This window comes from Homo sapiens, chromosome 5 (assembly GCF_000001405.40).
Source record: "Homo sapiens chromosome 5, GRCh38.p14 Primary Assembly".
Lineage (NCBI taxonomy): Eukaryota > Metazoa > Chordata > Mammalia > Primates > Hominidae > Homo > Homo sapiens.
In genome coordinates, this window is record NC_000005.10 from 54,286,913 (window position 1) to 54,304,514 (window position 17,602).

At 42.7% G+C, this 17,602-nt stretch overlaps 1 protein-coding gene across 10 annotated transcripts in view, besides 1 other annotated feature; it reads right to left on the reverse strand.

The window, feature by feature from the left end:
• The window catches only part of ARL15 (ARF like GTPase 15), a 426,632-nt gene that overhangs the window by 402,971 nt on the left and 6,059 nt on the right, over nucleotides 1-17,602 (reverse strand). The window lies entirely within an intron of this gene.
• Nucleotides 9,787-10,287: an enhancer, noted in NCBI's record as "H3K4me1 hESC enhancer chr5:53592529-53593029 (GRCh37/hg19 assembly coordinates)". NCBI's record gives its function as "activates a minimal SCP1, AML or CMV promoter by ChIP-STARR-seq in naive H9 embryonic stem cells {active_cell/tissue: H9 hESC(naive)}" and the evidence as "EXISTENCE:reporter gene assay evidence [ECO:0000049][PMID:30033119]".

Here is a 17,602-nt window from a genome sequence, read left to right on the forward strand (position 1 = left end):
GGTTGGAGTGCAGTGGCGCAGTCTTGGCTCACTGCTGCCTGGACCTCCTGTCCAGGATTGCCTCAAGCAATCCTCCCACCTCAGCCTCCCAAATAGCTAGGACTACAGGCGCACGCCACCATACCCAGCTAATTTTGTTTATTTTTTTGTAGAGATGAGTTCTCACTATGTTGGCCAGGTTGGTCTCAAACTCCTGGGCTCCAGTGATCCTCCCACCTCGGCCTGCCAAAGTGCTGGGATTGCAGGAATGAGCCACTGTACCTGGCCCAGAGCATCCTTAATGTGGCAAGCACTTCTAGGTAAGTGTTAAGTATAGAAACATAAAGAAGACCAAACCCTAGCATCAGTGATCTTCCAGTTCAGGAGAAAGCGGTAATTAAACATACCTGTGCCAGACAAGTGCAATGTAAATGTGTTCAGCACAATCAGGGGTATGCACAATGGGCTTTAGGGAAACAGAGTAGAGGCATCAAAGTCATTCTTATAGGCATGTCAGGAAAGACTTGGAAGCATCTCCTGAATTTTGAGTCTCAAAAGATTGAGAGGTATCCAAGTTCAAAGGAGCACAGAAGAAAACGGCATTCCAGATAAAAGTGAAAGCAAGAAACATCCCATAATGCGCAAGCATCTGAGGGCTGCTAATGCATGCCCTAGACACCTTCCTAGTCTTTGCAAATAATTGCTTCTCAGTCCGATATCAATTATTGATAACTATTAACTGACAATCTACATACTAATTAAAATGCATTCATATGAATATACAAAACATCCTCATTTTAAGACTTATCTCTAACTCCCTGCCAAAGGAATTTCCATTTGTCAGGGACTTAGCATGGTCACATCATAGAGTCTGTTTTGCCTCCCCACCCTTTTAGATGCAAAGGCCCACAAGCAAGATGCCACAGCTGATTGAACTAGCAGGCAGTTTAGCCTTAGTAGCTGACCAACAACCATGGTGTGGCCTAGCAGGAAGGGCCAGGCTAACCTAATCATATTCTTTTTCTCCCAAATTTGAGTTGAAAAATACTGAAAAGATGAAGCAGTTCATAGTGCAAAATAAAACTGAGGGAATACAAAAAGCAAAGCTATTAAATAACTTCATAACCATGAAGAATCACAGCAATCTAAATTTACAAAGCTACTAGTATGAATAACAAGAAACTATACAAAAAAGAAAAGCTACACAAAGCAGAGGAGAATAACAACCCTGCTAATAACCCCAGGAGAAGTAGACCCAGAGAGAAATCAGTATGTGAAGAATGGCTGAGTGCAGTTGCAGACAAGTCTGTTTCTTAGTTAAAAAACTATATTCCTCAGTTTCTTGCAGCTAGGAATGGCAGCATGATCAAATTCTAGTAAATGAGATATAATTAGTAAGTCTTACAAGTCTTCCAGGAGGGAAGCACACTCTTCTTCTGCCCTTTCACCATCCAGCTATCTGGAATGCAGAAGTGATGGCAGGAGCTCTGGCACTAATTTTGGACCATAAGCTTAAAGTCTACATATAGTGGGCAGAAGCTTCTTGGGGCCCTAATGACTTCTGGACTTACTTGCCTGAGCAAAAAATGAAACTGTCAAAGCCACTATATTCCAACCAATTCCAGTCCTAATTGATACAGTGGTTGAGAGAATGTGACAGAACCACAATTTGAACTCAAGTCTTTTGGACGTGGGGGCCAAACTCAATCATTATGAGCAAGTGCAAATGAAGTCAAACAAACTGAGTAAAGCAGGTTTACAGTTTACATGTATTTTATAATTCAACAAATCATAAAAGTCTGACTACCAAAGGCCAATAAAAAAGAAAAACACGCAGATGCAGTGTCACTCACCTACTACAAATAACACTTTGGACAAGCCTCTTTGACTCTGTAGCCTACCTGGACATATAAGGTTTTTCCCTCAATACAAGTACCTACAATAAGGCATATGGGCAATAAAAACTGAATATAGGCACCAGCTTCTCATGCATGGCAGAAACCTATCAAATTCAGATTTGTAAGGAGTAGATGAGACTTGCAAGAGCACACGGGATTCTGGAAAGCCTACAGCATATTTTGCAAGGAAGTAAGAGGCCTGTCTCATTAACTTCAAGCAAAAGAATTTTCCATACGTCATTAACAACTAGAAGAACTCAGCCCAGGCATTGTAACTCCCTAAACCACTGATGCCCCAGGGTGGCAAGTGTAGCATAGATCGGCAATTCCTTTGAAAGGCTCAAGGATTTTAGATGCCCAAGCTGAAGCACCAATGAACTTTGTATTAATTCTCTTCATTAATTAAACAATTTCATATTTGCATTGACCACACATTTTGTGCCCAGCCATGTCCCATGCTGGGGACGGAACAGTGAGAGCAAAGTCCCTGCTCTTATGGAGCCTACACTCCAGTGGTAGTGGCACACAAAACAACAAATAAAATCAACTTAGATGGTGACAAGTCCTATGAAGAAAAAAAAAAAAAAGAGAGAATGTGCAGGAGAGGGTGGATTTCCGGTACTGCTATTTTTAAGAGCAGACGTGGTCATTCTAACAATATTATAGACAATAAAAGAGATGCCAAAAAAGCTTTCAACAGCTTTGCTTCCCAAACCCCTTGCATAGGCAAACACAGTATTTCTACCGTAAAAAGTCACAGCATTAGACACTCAATTCAATAATCCACAAATATTTATTGAGAAGCAGTTCTGGGAGACATTAAGAGCAAATCTAACAGCTTTCAGTGTTAAGACTTTCTGGAATCAAATCCCAGCCATACAACTTACTATTTGTAGGAGCTTGGGCAAGTTGCTTAACCTCTGTGCATCTTAATTTGTCATTTGTAAAATGAGGATCATAGTAGTACCTATTTCATTGGGTACTAAGAGGATTCAATGAGTTATAAAAGGAAATACAGTAAGCTTCAGATTTGTATTTTGTTTTATATATTTTGTAATTGACATATAATGTATATTTTAATTGAATATCTGCTATGTTCCAGGCACACAACTTCCTCTAAGCATTTGCATAATGGGGCCCCACACACCAGGAAGCCCCAGGGGCTGCAGTCTGCCATCAGCTTCTACAGATGCCTTGCATTCAGGCCTTGTCTGTACTCTTGGTGTCTCCGCCTGCTGTCACCTGCATTACCAGGACTAACTCCTGTGACTTCTTACTGCAAATACTGTAACCCAGAATGGTAACTCTGAGATTCCCCAAAGGAGTAAACATTCCAAATCCAAGTTTCTCTCTTACCACTCTGTCTCAACAGAGCCAGCAACTGATGCAAAACAATAAACAACATCCATTTTTTAGCCAGGCCTCACAATATTGTCCAGATTGGCAATGCGACATGTTTAAACTGAAGAAGTTTTAGTCTACATTATATAAGATTATATCAACTATCACTCAACCTTTTTTTTTTTTTTTTTGAGGTAGAGTCTCACTCTGTCATGAGGCTGGAGGGCAGTGGCACGATCTCGGCTCGCTGCAACCTCTGCCCACCTCCTGGGTTCAAGCGATTCTCCTGCCTCAGCCTCCTGAGTAGCTTGGGATTACAGGTGAGTGCCACCACGTCCAGCTAATTTTCCTATTTTTAGTAGAGACGGGGTTTCACCATGTTGGCCAGGATGGTCTCGATCTCCTGATCTCATGATCCGCCCTCCTTGGCCTCTCAAAGTGCTGGGATTACAGGCATGAGCCACCGTGTCCAGCATCACTCAATATTTTAATATTCAATAATATTTAATATTTTTAATGCTATTATAATGATAGGCATCTACTTTGCCATGCATTGTCCATTAGGCACTTGGAAGCAAAATTAATTAGAATCATAAGGAAAATTATATTTATTCAATTATCCAGAGTATGAATTCATCTTCCATTCCCTACGTCCCATTCGTTTTTAATATAATTAAATGAACACAACTTTTCAGCACTGTCCTTCTACTAAAACCTTAGAAATCATTGTTTAGGGGTTCTTTCCTTGAATTTATCTTTTTAAGCCACTTCTTTGGGCATGATACCTACACTGTCAAATCTATATTTAAAGTCCTCAAAATATTCAAATGGCCAACCCCTTTTACTGAATCAGTACTTCTATATTAACTTACAAAAATTATTGTACTGCCAGGAAAAGGCTGACTACAGGAGAACGTGGTCTAACAACCACTTAAAGGTTCAAAAAAATTTCTATTTGCCTATTAATTAGACAATCTCAACTTTTCTTCTTGTTTTTCTAACTGTGGAGGGAAAAGAAAGGTAAGCTTTGAGGTTAGACAAACCTGGGTTTGAACCATTCAATAAGTTACTTTAGAAAACTCATCCACCCTGAACTTCAATAAGTGGTCCTCAGATGAGAAAAGAGAACAGATAATCCTTGGTTTCCATGGGGGATTGGCTCCAGGACCCTCTGCAGATACTAAAATCTGTGGATGCTCAAGTTCCTATATGAAATGCTGTAATATTTGCATGTAACCTACACATATCCACCTGTATACTTTACATCATCTCTAGATTACTTATACCTAATACAATGACAATGTTGTGTAATTATTAGACTGTATTTTTTATTTTGTATTATTTTTTATATTTTTTGTTCAAATATTTACAATTTGCAGTTCATTGAATCTGCAGATCTAGAACCCGCAGATACAGAAGGCTAACTATAATAATACTAAAGCTACTAACTCTACTGAATTAAATAAGCAAGCATCAGGTGCTTAGCAAAGGGAAGATATTTTCTCACACCTAGTGAATCCAAAGCCAAGCCGCCCACATCTACTACTGGAATGTGGATGAGTCTCCTGAACAGGCCCCACTAGTTCCCATCTGATCCCTGTATAATCCATCTTCCATTCAACAGCCAGAGCAAGTTTTCAACATGTAAATCTGGTGCTATCACCTCCTGCTTAAAACTATTTAATAGTTTAAGAGTAATCTTAACAGAAACCCAACTCCCAGCCACAACTGCCAGACCCTACGGAATCTTAACTGGGCTCCCCTGGGGCTTGGGTTCACAGCCAATTTCTTTGAGCCACTCTTCAGCATCTGATACCCCAACCTCTGAGATTCCTATGAGCAGCTATACCACTGTCTCATACTTGCTGAAGACAAATAGCCCCAATCTATATGCTCAGGGAACTACTTGGGGTTTTCTGTAAGTCCCAGGGATCCCTGTGCCCAACTCAGGTGGTAGTATCTACCTACTTTTGTCCCCAGGGACTCACCCTATTTCCCTTTTCTTTTTCAAGGGATACCACTTTTTCCTAAGTCTTGTAGATTTTCTCCTTACCCCATCCCTAAAGCCTGGCTGCCAAGTGGCAGGAGCCCTCCCCTCCCTCCCTTGCTGTTGATGTTCTTGCTTCTCCAAAGATGTGCACACTGGCCCTTCTTTATGAATGGGTTTTAGTGCTAAGGACTAAAGGGAACAGATATGTGGAGGTTGATATAAAAATCTAACAACTAAAGGCAGTATAGTCATTGCCTATGTTTCTGACATGTCGTGTGGATAAGCAAGCCACTGAAACTCCTGCCCTCCACCTGTTATCAGCAAGCGGATCTCTCCAAAGTCCTCCCTTCACTCTCAAACCAGAAGGCAGAATCACAACCCATGAACCAGGTGAGCTATAGACCCTCGTAAGCCCACTCCTTTCAGATGAACAGTTTGCATTTCTGAGGGCAGAGTTCCTATTCAAGCGTTTCATTAAGATAGTGAATAATGTCTAGTAACTATACCTATAGAAATTGAGTAGAACCACGCACAATTCAATTTAAAAGGATGGCCTTATCTTACAAGTCACAAGAGAAGGAAAAAAAGGCATTTACTAAGGTTCTACTATGCGCTAGGTATTTTTATACTGTCGTCTCACTCAGCGCTCACAATTAGAGCAACGTGGGTATTTCCAGGCCTGTTTCTCATATTAAAAAAACAAAAGGATACTAGCCCGAGGCTAGCAAGTGGCAGAAGGTAGACTACTGCCCAGGTCTAATTCTAAGCCAGTCCTTTTCCAACTCTGCAACCTCACACGGTGTTGCAAAGAGACAGTTGGATATTCAAGAAATACTTTTAAGTAGAAATTGAATTTTAATTAGAGACTGAAATGAGAAACAACATGTTCAAATGTACTGTATATAAAATTTTAACACACACCACCCACACATAACTCATGCTGCCAGAGTAACTTGGGGTGGGGGGAAAGATCAAGTTTCATGATAAAACCTATGTTCTGCCTTCTCACTGAAGATCAGCTCAACATTGCACAGTGAGCTACTTTCCAATCTGTAACATTTGCAACTATGATTCTGTTGGAATCCTGTTTTTCCTCAATGCTACACCAAAAAGAGAACAAAATGCAGAACCAAATAAACTATTTGATAAGCCTTCAGTTCTCAACCATGTCTAAAGGCAGTTTTTGTGTTCATCAGAACAGCTTCATTGTCCTCACTGATTAATATATAATAATAATAAACGTGTAAGTAAATATCATAAATATAGGCTTGTAAAAAGTCAAATATAGTAAAATATCACTTGTTTAATAGTTCTGCATAAAATTAGTTGGAAAAAACTCCACTGCCTAAATGAAAAGAAACATGTTAGTTCCTCCCCTATACCACAATGTTTTCTTAAATAACTCATAGTAAAGTGAAGAGAGATTGGCTGATACATTAGGATCAACCTAGAAGCAAGGAAAAAGTTGAAAGGAACTTTGCATCTATTCCAACCTCTCACTCAGTGCATGAACCCCTTTCTGTGATGTCCCTAACAGGCAGGGACCCAGCTTCTGTTCTGTCATTTCCTACTCAAGGAAGATGAACAAATCTTAAGAGAATTCTTCTTTACCTGAACCAATACCTGGCCTTCCTATGATCATGACCTGCTCAGATTCATAGAAGACTTTATGCCCTTCAAACAACTAAAGCCACTCATCATATCATCCTTTTTTTTTTTATTGTTTTGAGACGAAGTCTCACTCTGTCGCCAGGCTGGAATGCAGTGGCACGATCTCAGCTCACTGCAACCTCCGCCTCCTGGGTTCAAGCAATTCTGCCTCAGCCTCCCAAGCAGCTGGGACTACAGGCACGTGCCACCCACACCCAGCTAATTTTTGTATTTTAGTTTCACCATGTTGGCCAGGCTGGTCTTGAACTCCTGACCTCATGTGATCCGCCTGCCTCGGCCTCCCAAACTGTCTTGCTCTTCTTTAAAGGTTCTCCCCAAGTCCAAAAGCCAAAACTCCAATGCCAACGAAAAGTATCATGCAATACTGCCTCTCTTCTTTGAGGAGGTAGGTAAATCCTATTCTACTAACCCAGCGGCTGGCAAATTCCAATCTGTGGGAAAATCCAGTCCACTGCCTGGTTTTGCCAATAAAGTTCTGTTGAAACACAACCACAGCCATCTGCCTATCTATTATCTACAGCTGCTTTCAAACTACTAAGGTGGAGTTCAGTAGTTGAAAGAAAGACATATGTATATTACGTTCAGTGTTACAGGCTACCGTCTCAGTAGTTACAAGGGTCATCCCTGTATTATTTAGGATGCCCAAATGCCTGCCAAACATTAAGCTCACAATAAGTATTTGCTGAGTAAGGAAGGTCAGAAAAGGAAAGAGGGAGATTAGAAAGAAGGGAAGGTAGGGCTTTTCTTCTCCCAAAACTAACCTGAAATCCAGCCTTATAGAATACTTTAAAACCTGACAGATCCTTGTCTTGCTGCAAGATCTTTTAACACAGGGCTACACAGCAGAATTAAAATTGAGGACCTAAAGCGACTATGTTTTATTTCAGGCACATAAACACTGATTAAAATATCATTTAATAAAACAAAAGTCCTTGTTAATTTTGAATGCACAGGAAAATACTACTCATAGTGTTAGAAGCATATGTATTTGTTACTGTTGCTACTGCTTATTGTCTTAATATCACTCACTGCAGTTATATAAAGCAATTGGGATAAATAATCTTTCCCTCAGATGAACTCTTAAGCACTCTGGATTTGGGGAAATAGAAAAGAACTGCTTTAAGACAGATGAGGAAAAGACTGAATCATCAATGAGCTTACTATAACTCTTGATTCTTCATCTCCTTCATGGTTTAATAATCACTCACTTTTACGATGGTTTATTCAAGACAACCTTTGTAGAAAGTATTAAAATATGCATCACATCTTGCACAGCTTTTCAACTTTTTAAGCAACTTGTTTCATTATACTTGTGTTCTCTTACAAAGAATCTGATGTGAAGAATTTTAGAATTAGCAATGCAAGATCTTTCTCAACATGGAATCGAAATTTTTACTGAGTCCATTTTATGAAACTATTTCACGTGAATATTAAGTACACATAATTATTTATGATAAAACAGGAAGAACTCAGAAGACATGAAATGGAAAATAGTCACCTATGGGTATTAACAAAGATCCCCAGTATAGTTAGGTATTCTCCCCAAATAATGACATAATGAAACTAAAACATCACTAGCACAGGAATCTCAGGATGCACAAAAATTGCAGCCTACATCCACAGAAATAATAAATAGGGGCTGCACTCCAGGCTCAAAAAGTGATGCTACCCACAGCCCAAGGCCAGGTCAGTAGGGACCCTGAAAGAGTCAGGAAATGCAAAGGAAACCTAGGAGCAATCGCGTGATCACATCTAAATGACCCAACCTTTAAAACACACATAGAAATCCCAAAAAATTATAGGAAAAAGTATGTTACACTGAAAAAAACATTACTGGTGAACAATATAAAATATACATTTCTATACAAAATGAAACAAAGAGAGAAATCCAATAATCCAAAGAGGTTTTCTACTTTAGCCCAGTGACTTGAAAAGAGAACCAGCCTCATTCAGGAAACATTCGAAATGACCAAGAACGGCAACATTACCCAATAAATCGTCCCAATGCTCCTTCCTCTACCATACCCTGCCTCTCAGGAAACATTCATACAGGAAGAAGGGATAAAAGAGCTGGCCAATAAATCACATGCTCTGCTTCTCAAAAGCAGAAACTTGACTTTCAAATTGTTTGACTCCAATGAAATAGGAACTGAAGGCTCCAAACAATCACAGAATTCCAGAGTAGCACCTCAGAAAACTCATCTACTGAGTCGGCTCGTGTGGCCGAACTTAGGTAACAGCTGTAAGCATAACTGGCCTGAGGAGAGATGTGGGCCACCCTCTTCCCTGCCAGGACCTTTCACCCTGTGAATCAGAAATAGCTGCCACTTAAAACACCAGCAAGCAGTTGAAGTGTCTTTAACCCAGTTACCCTACACTATGCGTATTAGGCAGAGGCAGGGAGATTTTTGGAAGGCTGGTAGGGGGAAAATGAATCGAAATGGAGCAAAATCTTTTTGGTGACAACAGTACCATAAGTCCTTGTTTTATATACACTTTTGTAGTACTTACAGAATTAGGCTCTCTTTTAAATGCTTTATACACACATTAACTCAATTCTGCGAGGTAGGTATTTAATACTATCATTACACCCACTTTGCATACAAGGAAACAGGCACGGAGGCTGCAGAGCAGGTAAGTCACAGAGCTAGAATGCAAATGCAGGCAGTCTGGCTCTGCCCCTGACCATTATTATGTGCAGCATCTCAGTCCAATCAAATATTTACTCAGCACCTGTCAGGTGTACTTGTGCCAGGTTCTGGGCATATTAAGAGGCCTGCAACCCAGCCCTGCACTGTGCCACAATGTGCTCTGTCCTATAACACAGACAGGAACAAAGGCCCGAGGCTGGGTTATGGCTAGCACATTAGGCACCTCTGTGCCAGTTCACAATGGGGATCTGGGCAAGCCAAGCAGGGGCTGGATTTCAGCCCCACTTGCCCCCTTGGCCAGGCACTTCTGTGCAGTGTCTAACAGGCCTCACTGTCTGAGGCAGCCCTGCAGTGGCCCTGGAAGGACCCTCAATTCTGTTTTGGTAGTGAAAGGTTGGGAGAAGAGAAGCCCTCTTTCCTAACGAGTTCTGCAGAGTTAATGCACCACCACCACTGTGGCAGAGGGTTGTATGGAAAGGCTGGAGAGGGCAGGTACTAGTGTGAGATGGGCTTATTGGAAAGGAGGCACAGAGCAGTGTACAGTAAGGATGACCTTAATATGAAAGATGCTATTTCATCTAGCATTTCCCTGGTTTAGGTAGTTGGGAGAAGATTAGGCCCAGGTTTATTGTGCTACAGAGGGTCCTCATTCAGATTACTAAACTCACAGCTCAATTACTGGATTCGTAAGACTCTCGGCCTATTTTTTTCTACTAAGAGGGGTTGCACTACCAGGGGAGTTCTAGTTCCTGATGAATGGGCAGACTGGACCCCCCTCAAGGGACTCAGTTGCTGTCTGGATCTATCACTAGGCTGGATTTCTTTGGAGGGGTCCCTGGGATTGAGTCCTGCCAGCTTCAGGTTCCTGGGGCAGAGAATTGGTAGTTTGAAGTGCTGAGTCCAGAAGCTAATGAAGATGGCCCAGGCCAAGGCCTTTCCAACAGGACTGAAATCTGGTTGCAGGCAGTTGTTGGAGCCTGGAGTTTGTTTTGTTGTGGGCAGCCTGCTTAGGGCTGTTTTGTTAGGGCAGTTTGTGAGGTTAGCCCTCTTATGTTATGTCTGGAACAATTGTATAGTAATCTGGATGCATTGTCAGTAAAGCTAAAATGGGCTCTGTGATCATGACTTCTATCTAATTAAAATTATAAGGAGCATAGTATTGTGGAAATAATTTTTAGTTTTCCCTCCCCTTGGAGAGTCTACCTCTGACCTCTGCAGTCTTCAATTCACACCCCTATTGTCTGACCACATTGAACTTTCTTTCCCTCCAGTTTTCTGACTTGTTACTCCATACAACATTTATGGTTCAGCCTCATCAAGACCACCAGGCCCTTCCATCTTCTACTTTCTTTTTTTTTGAGACGGAGTCTCGCTCTGTCGCCCAGGCTGGAGTGCAGTGGCACAATCTCAGCTCACTGCAAGCTCCACCTCCCAGGTTCACGCCATCCTCCTGCCTCAGCCTCCCCAGCAGCTGGGACTACAGGTGCACGCTGCCACGCCCGGCTAATTTTTGTATTTTTAGTAGAGACGGGGTTTCACCGTGTTAGCCAGGATGGTCTCGATCTCCTGACCTCGTGATCCGCCCGCCTCGGCCTCCCAAAGTGCTGGGATTACAGGCGTGAGAAAGTAGAAGAAAGTAGAAATCTTCTACTTTCTATGTGCCCTTCCTTCCTTTCCTATAACTCAGATCTCAGTCTATAATTTCAAATATTTTCTTACCAGTGTACTAAGTTCCCGCACCCCATTGTCTACCTATGGATTCACCTTAGATTAGGAAAAACCCTAACCCTTACCAATCTAACGGCCCACCTTCTTAAAACTACATCTAGATGGCTACAAAGGCTACACAAGGAAAGAAAAAAGAAATCACACAACCATCTAAATGTGTGCCAAGACGGTCTGCAACTTCAGCACGACACAACTACCAACCCTCTGTGTCTCTGGTCATCCTCGGCCCTCCGTCCTCACTGCAGCTTCTTCTATCCTCCTCAGTTAAAACCGCTACCTGACCACATTTCAGTCACACTTGGCAAAATGACCTCACGTTCTACTGCACCAGCACTGCGCCATCTCTAGTCCCATTTAAGGAAAGCCACCCCCCAACCTTCCTGCCCCTCCAGTTCCAGCCCTTTCTCTTCTCTTTCCTGGTGAATGTCTCATAAAACATTCATTGGAGCAGCATCATTTCCTCATTCCCCACTCCTCCACTAATCGGCACCGCAACAAGGCCCATGACAGCCCTCTGGCCAAGGTCACCACTGACACGAATTCAGTGGTCATTTTCCAGTCATTATCTTCCATGATCTCTGGTCAACATTTAACAAAATTGGCCACTTTTTCCTGGAAAGTCTCTATCCTCACCTGCTTGACATCACACTCTCCAGGTTTCCTTCCAACCTCTCAGTTCTCTTTCTCCCAGACTCCTCTTTCTGGTTGCTGTTGGTTTTTTGGTTTTTTTTTCCTTTGCATTTTTTGTTTTGAGATGAGGTCTTGTTCTGTCACCCAGGCTGGAGTGCAGTGGCACAATCACGGCTCATTGCAGACTCAACATCCCAGGCTCAGGTGATCCTCCTGCCTCAGCCTCCCAGGTAATTGGGGCCACCGGTGCATGCCACCATGCTTGGCTATCTTATTTTTTTGTAGAGACAGGGGTCTCACTATGTTGCCCAGTCTAGTCTCAAACACCTGGCCCCAAGTGATCCTCCCGCCTTGGCCTCCAAAAGTGCTGAGATTACAGGCACAAGCCACCATGACTGGCTGCCAAGTTCCTCTTTGGTTCCTTTACTTTTGGTGATCCCATAAAAGCTGCATGTATACTACACGCCAGCAGTGGCTGAGGCCGTAGGCATCCTCAAGTATTTTCCTTTCCCACACAACTGAACCCTCATGCATGGCTATGGCTTCAGCTACCATCTAAGTGGTTGCAAATGTGAGCTCAAACATTAGCCAGACCTAGGTTCAAATTCTGGCTCCACCATGTCTTAGGCACAACATTTAATTTCTCTAAGCTTCAGTTTTCTAATCTCTAAAACGATAATAGTAAATGTATAGCATATAAAAAATACTGAGCACTGTGCCTCCTGCAAAATATTAATAATATAGTATAGTATACAGTATGTAACAATAAATGTTAGCTATTAGCTTTTTTTTTTTTTTTTTTTTTTTTGAGATGGAGTCTCGCTCTGTCGCCAGGCTGGAATGCAGTGGCGCAATCTCGGCTCACTGCAATCTCCACCTCCTGGGTTCAAGTGATTCTCCTGCCTCAGCTTCCCAAGTAGCTGGGACTATAGGTGTGCACCACTACGCCTGGCTAATTTTTTGTATTTTAGTAGAGATGGGGTTTCATCATGTTGGCCAGATGGTCTGGATCTCCTGATCTCGGGATACATACACCTCGGCCTCTCAAAGTGCTGGGATTATAGGCGTGAGCCACCGCACCTGGCCCTAGGTATTAGTTTTAACTACATCTCCAAACCTCACCTCTGAGTTTCCATTTACCTATGTGAAATCTCAAGTTGAATTACTGCACAAGCAGTTCAAACTCAGTCACTCTAAAGTCAAACTTCTCCCTTTCCCACCAAACCTGCTATTTCTTCAGGGTTACAGATCATAGTGCATGACCCCATTACCCACCTCAATACCTACAGTGGTTTTAAAACATGCCCAAAAATTCTTCAACCTTCCTCCCACCAAGAGATATCTCCCTTCTGCCCTTGAACCTAGCAATGCCTTTTTTACTGCCTTGATGAAAAGAACACAGTAAAAGTGACACTGAATCACTGTTGAGGATTGGGTAGAAAAGACCAGGCAGTTTCTGCCAGTTTCTCTTGGTACGTTTGCTCTGTAAGCCTTCGGCCTCAATATGAGAAGTCCAGCTATCTTGAGGCCATCACATAGAAAGACCACATGAAGAGAGATGCCCCAGGGGGCCACCCTTGTCCAGCACCCAGCTGTTGCAATGTACCCAGCTCAGATGCCAGGCATGTGTATGAAGCCTTGAGGTGACCCCACCCTCCATCTGATTACAACTTCATGAGGGATCCTGAACAATAACTGCCTAGTTGAACCCAGTCAAACCCCGATTCACGAGTAAAATACATTGTTATTGTGTTAAACTATTGTTTTAAGGTGGTTCATTACTCAGATAACCAAAACAATGCTCAAACCAAAAACCTAAGAATTATCCCTGAGATCTATTCTGTTGTCATCTTCCACATCCAATTACAAAATTCTGGCAATTCTTAAATGTTGTTAAATCCATCTACATTTATGCATCCCTCCTGCCCCTTCCTGGTTGTGAACACCATCATCTCATTTCTGGATCAGGACATCTTCCTAACTAGTCTTGCTCCAGTCTTCCCTCCCTTTCCAATCCTTCTCTGCACTGCAGACAGATCTGACCATGTCATTGCAGGCAAACTTTCAGAGTTTCCATGACCCTAGCTGGGCTCTGCAGCTTCATTTCTAGCACTGCTCCAAACCCTGCTCCAAAAACACAGAACCCCTGAAGTCCCTTGAAGTCATGGGGTTACTCACCCCCAAATTTCCGCACAGCTATTCCTTTTGCCTGGCCCTGGCCCTGCCTGTCACTGGGCCAACTTTACTCAGCTTTAATGTTGCAGATGTTAAAAGACTCCTCTGGGAAGTTCTCTTTGGCCCTGAAATCTAGGTTAGGTTGCCTTTCATGTGCTACTCTAGCCGTCTTTATTTCCCTCCAGATAGACTATGCTACTCCAAAATGTAATTGTTTATTTTTCATCGTACAGGAGCATAAGTACCTTGAGGGCAGACTAATGTCTTATTCACTCAACATTTTTTTTTAGGGAAAAAAGCAAATTTAGAAAGATAGAGCATTATGTTACAATTTTGGTAAAATTCTTAAAGCACACACAATGATACTATATATGGTTTACACCCACATGCATATATGATAAAAAGCCAAAAACATGCATGAGACTGTTACTCACTAACCTCGGGATAGTGGTCACCACTGAGAAGGGTGGAGGAGGAAGCGTGCAGGGAACAGGAGTCTTTAGTTTCATTTAAAGATCACCAGAATTTTGAAGTCAAAATGGCAAAATGTTCAATCAGGAAGGCAGGTACACAGAAGTCTGTTATATTATTTTCTGTACTTTTCTGAATGCTTAAAATAATTCATAATTAGAAATAAAACTCTGAAAGAATTATATTTCTGTTTAGCTCCTGACTCCATGTCTATACTGATTAGGAACGGGTATAGACCTCCAATGCCTCAATCAGTGGTCCTGGAGTGCCTCCAGATTGTCATTCCCTTCCCCAAGAGAAAGAGAGAGAGAGGCCAGAGCAGCAGCTCTCCTGTTGAAAAAAGAACCCAAGGGAATCCCTCTTGGAGAGACATGGACATAATTAGTGGGATAAGTCCTCAACTCTGAAAGCAGCAGTCCAGAGGTTAAAACAGTTCCCAGCAAATCTAGGTACAGAGGAACTTGATAAATGAGATTGGCTTGCAAATGCAACTTTTCAGATGGTGAGCTACTATCAAAATCATGTAGGAGTGCTTGGCTCTATGAGCCAAAGGGCAGAACACCTACCTTTATGCACACTGAAGGAGAGAGTGGGTAATCAATGAAAGCAAAATCAGTGAGCAGACTCCCGCCTCAAACACAAACCCACACAACTTTCCCAGTGGGAGCTGCACTGTCACTGAGTTCCCAGAGGGCCTCTCACAGGCAACCAGGTGACAGAAACAATCAAGTGACCCCTCAATTTCCAGAATTGTTATCTATGGTTCACACAGTCTCTCTCACTCATCCTCTCAACAATTATTAATTATAATAGTTAAGCAGCACCGAAGAATGCTCATGGCCATGGGCTTAGAATCAGACAAGCTCATACACTGATCCTGACCCTGACCCTCCACTGGTTATGCAATTCTGGGCAACACTCAACCTTTCAGAGTCTCAAGTTTCCTCTTTTCTAAGTTGCTATGTCTTTGTGGTTAACAGCACTGTTGGGAGGATTAAATTAGGTGATCCAAGGAAAACACTCAGCACTGTAAATGGTACACAGTCCTGTATTTACCAGACACTAGACTAGATTCCAGTGATAAAATGGTGATTAAGACGGTCAGGGAACCAGCAATGATGCAGGTTACAGACTCAGATGCCAGCCATGTATTTAGCGCTAGAAATCTGAACTGGCCTTATAAATTGTGCGGCCCAGTGCAAAATGAAAACGCAAAGCACCTGTTCTAAAATTAAGATTTTTTTTTTTTTTTTTTTTTTTTTTTTTCCAGGATGGGGACCAAAGAGCAGTAAACCAGGCATGGGGCTCTTCTGAACCCAGCGGTTGCATGGCTGGGAAGCCAGCCCTGCTAAAAGTAGATGTGACTTGGTACTTTACAGACACTCGGAAAATGAGGGTCAACCAGAACTGGGCTTCTTAGACTCATCCAAACACCTGGGACATTGGGACATTTGGGGAGATGACAGGGGAGAGCCACAACATAACACAGGGGGCTGCAGGATCCAAAACAAAAGCCCCTCAATAATTTAATTTGTGGGAAGTATCAGAGGAAATTCCCACTTCTTGTCACCTACAATAGTTATGAGACCTTCCCTAACAAGCTTTCCTTCTCTTTAGTCTACCTTAGAAATAAATCCTTTTATAAAGTTAATACCATCAGGAGATTTTGCCCAGCTGAAGTCCATAAGCAACAGGCTGCTTATGGCCTAGTATCTATTGGGAACAGCTGACTTCCCAGGCAGTGCGTGGCAAAAGAACATAGCACAGTCTCAGTACCTCTTCAAAAGAAATGGGGCTGGGCACAGTGGCTCACGCCTGTGATCCTAGCACTTTGGGAAGCTGAGGTAGGTGGATCATTTGAGGTCAGGAGATTGAGACCAGCCTGGGCAACATGGTGAAACCCCGTCTCTACCAAAAAATACAAAAACTAACCATACGCCTGTAGTCCCAGCTACTCAGGAGGCTTAGGTGGGATAATTGCTTGAACCCGGGAGGCAGAGGTTGCAGTGAGCTGAGATCAAGCCACTGCACTCCAGCTTGGATGACAGAGTGAGACCCTGTCAAGCAAGCAACCAAGAAAAGCAAGAAACAAACAAACAAACTGGGACTTGGGGCAGGTAGGAATGTGCCCCTGAAAGTGACACTAGGGGACTGAGTAAGGAGATCGCACCACTGCACTCCAGCCTGGATGACAGAGTGAGACCCTGTCAAAAAAAAAAAAAAAAGAAGAAGAAGAGGAGAGGAAAAAAAGAAGAAAGAGGAGGAGAGGAAAAAAAGAAGAAAAAGGAGAGGGGAGGGGAGGGGAAAGGAGGGGAAGGGAGGGAAGAAAAACGAAACAAAACAAAACTGGGGCTTGGGGCAGGTAGGAATGTGCCCCCAAAAGTGACACTAGGGGGCTGAGTAAGGAGGTTGCCTGAAAATCTATATGTGGTCACCTGGTGGAACACTAGATGCTGAAGATCACCTCAGTGGCTATGACCAGGGTATGGAGACTGTAAGGCAGGAGTTCCCAGCACACAACATAGTTCTCTTCCTAGCCAGCCTTCTCTGTAACAATCACCTGCCAGAGTCCTTGGGGACAAGGGCGCATCAGCCTGCCTGCTCATGGCCACTGCTTTCTTTAACATAGTAGTGGTCAAGGACCACTTTTCTGTACCTGTTTACTTAAGAAGCAATATACTAAAAATTTTGAGTGCATCCCAACTGCCTTAACACCAAGCTGCCTGAGCCTCTGCCTAGCACAAGGGAACTACTTGTAGGTGGAAGGCAATGAAGAGGGAGGGCCCTGGGGCCACAAGCGCAGTTCAACTACTTGCTAGCTGTGTGAACTTGAGGAAATTACACAACCTCCCTGAGCCTCAGTTTAATGCTATTACACATGCAAAGCACTTAGAACACTGGCACAGAGTAAGTGTTCAATAAATGTTAACTGATTTTGCCCTCCTGATTATAACTCATATACTTATCTCCTCTCACCCCCGACCTGAGCACTGCCCACATGCCAACAAGCATGTGGCTTTGGCATCTTTCAGAATGCAAGCCCCTGGAGGGCATGAATCAAGGTCCCT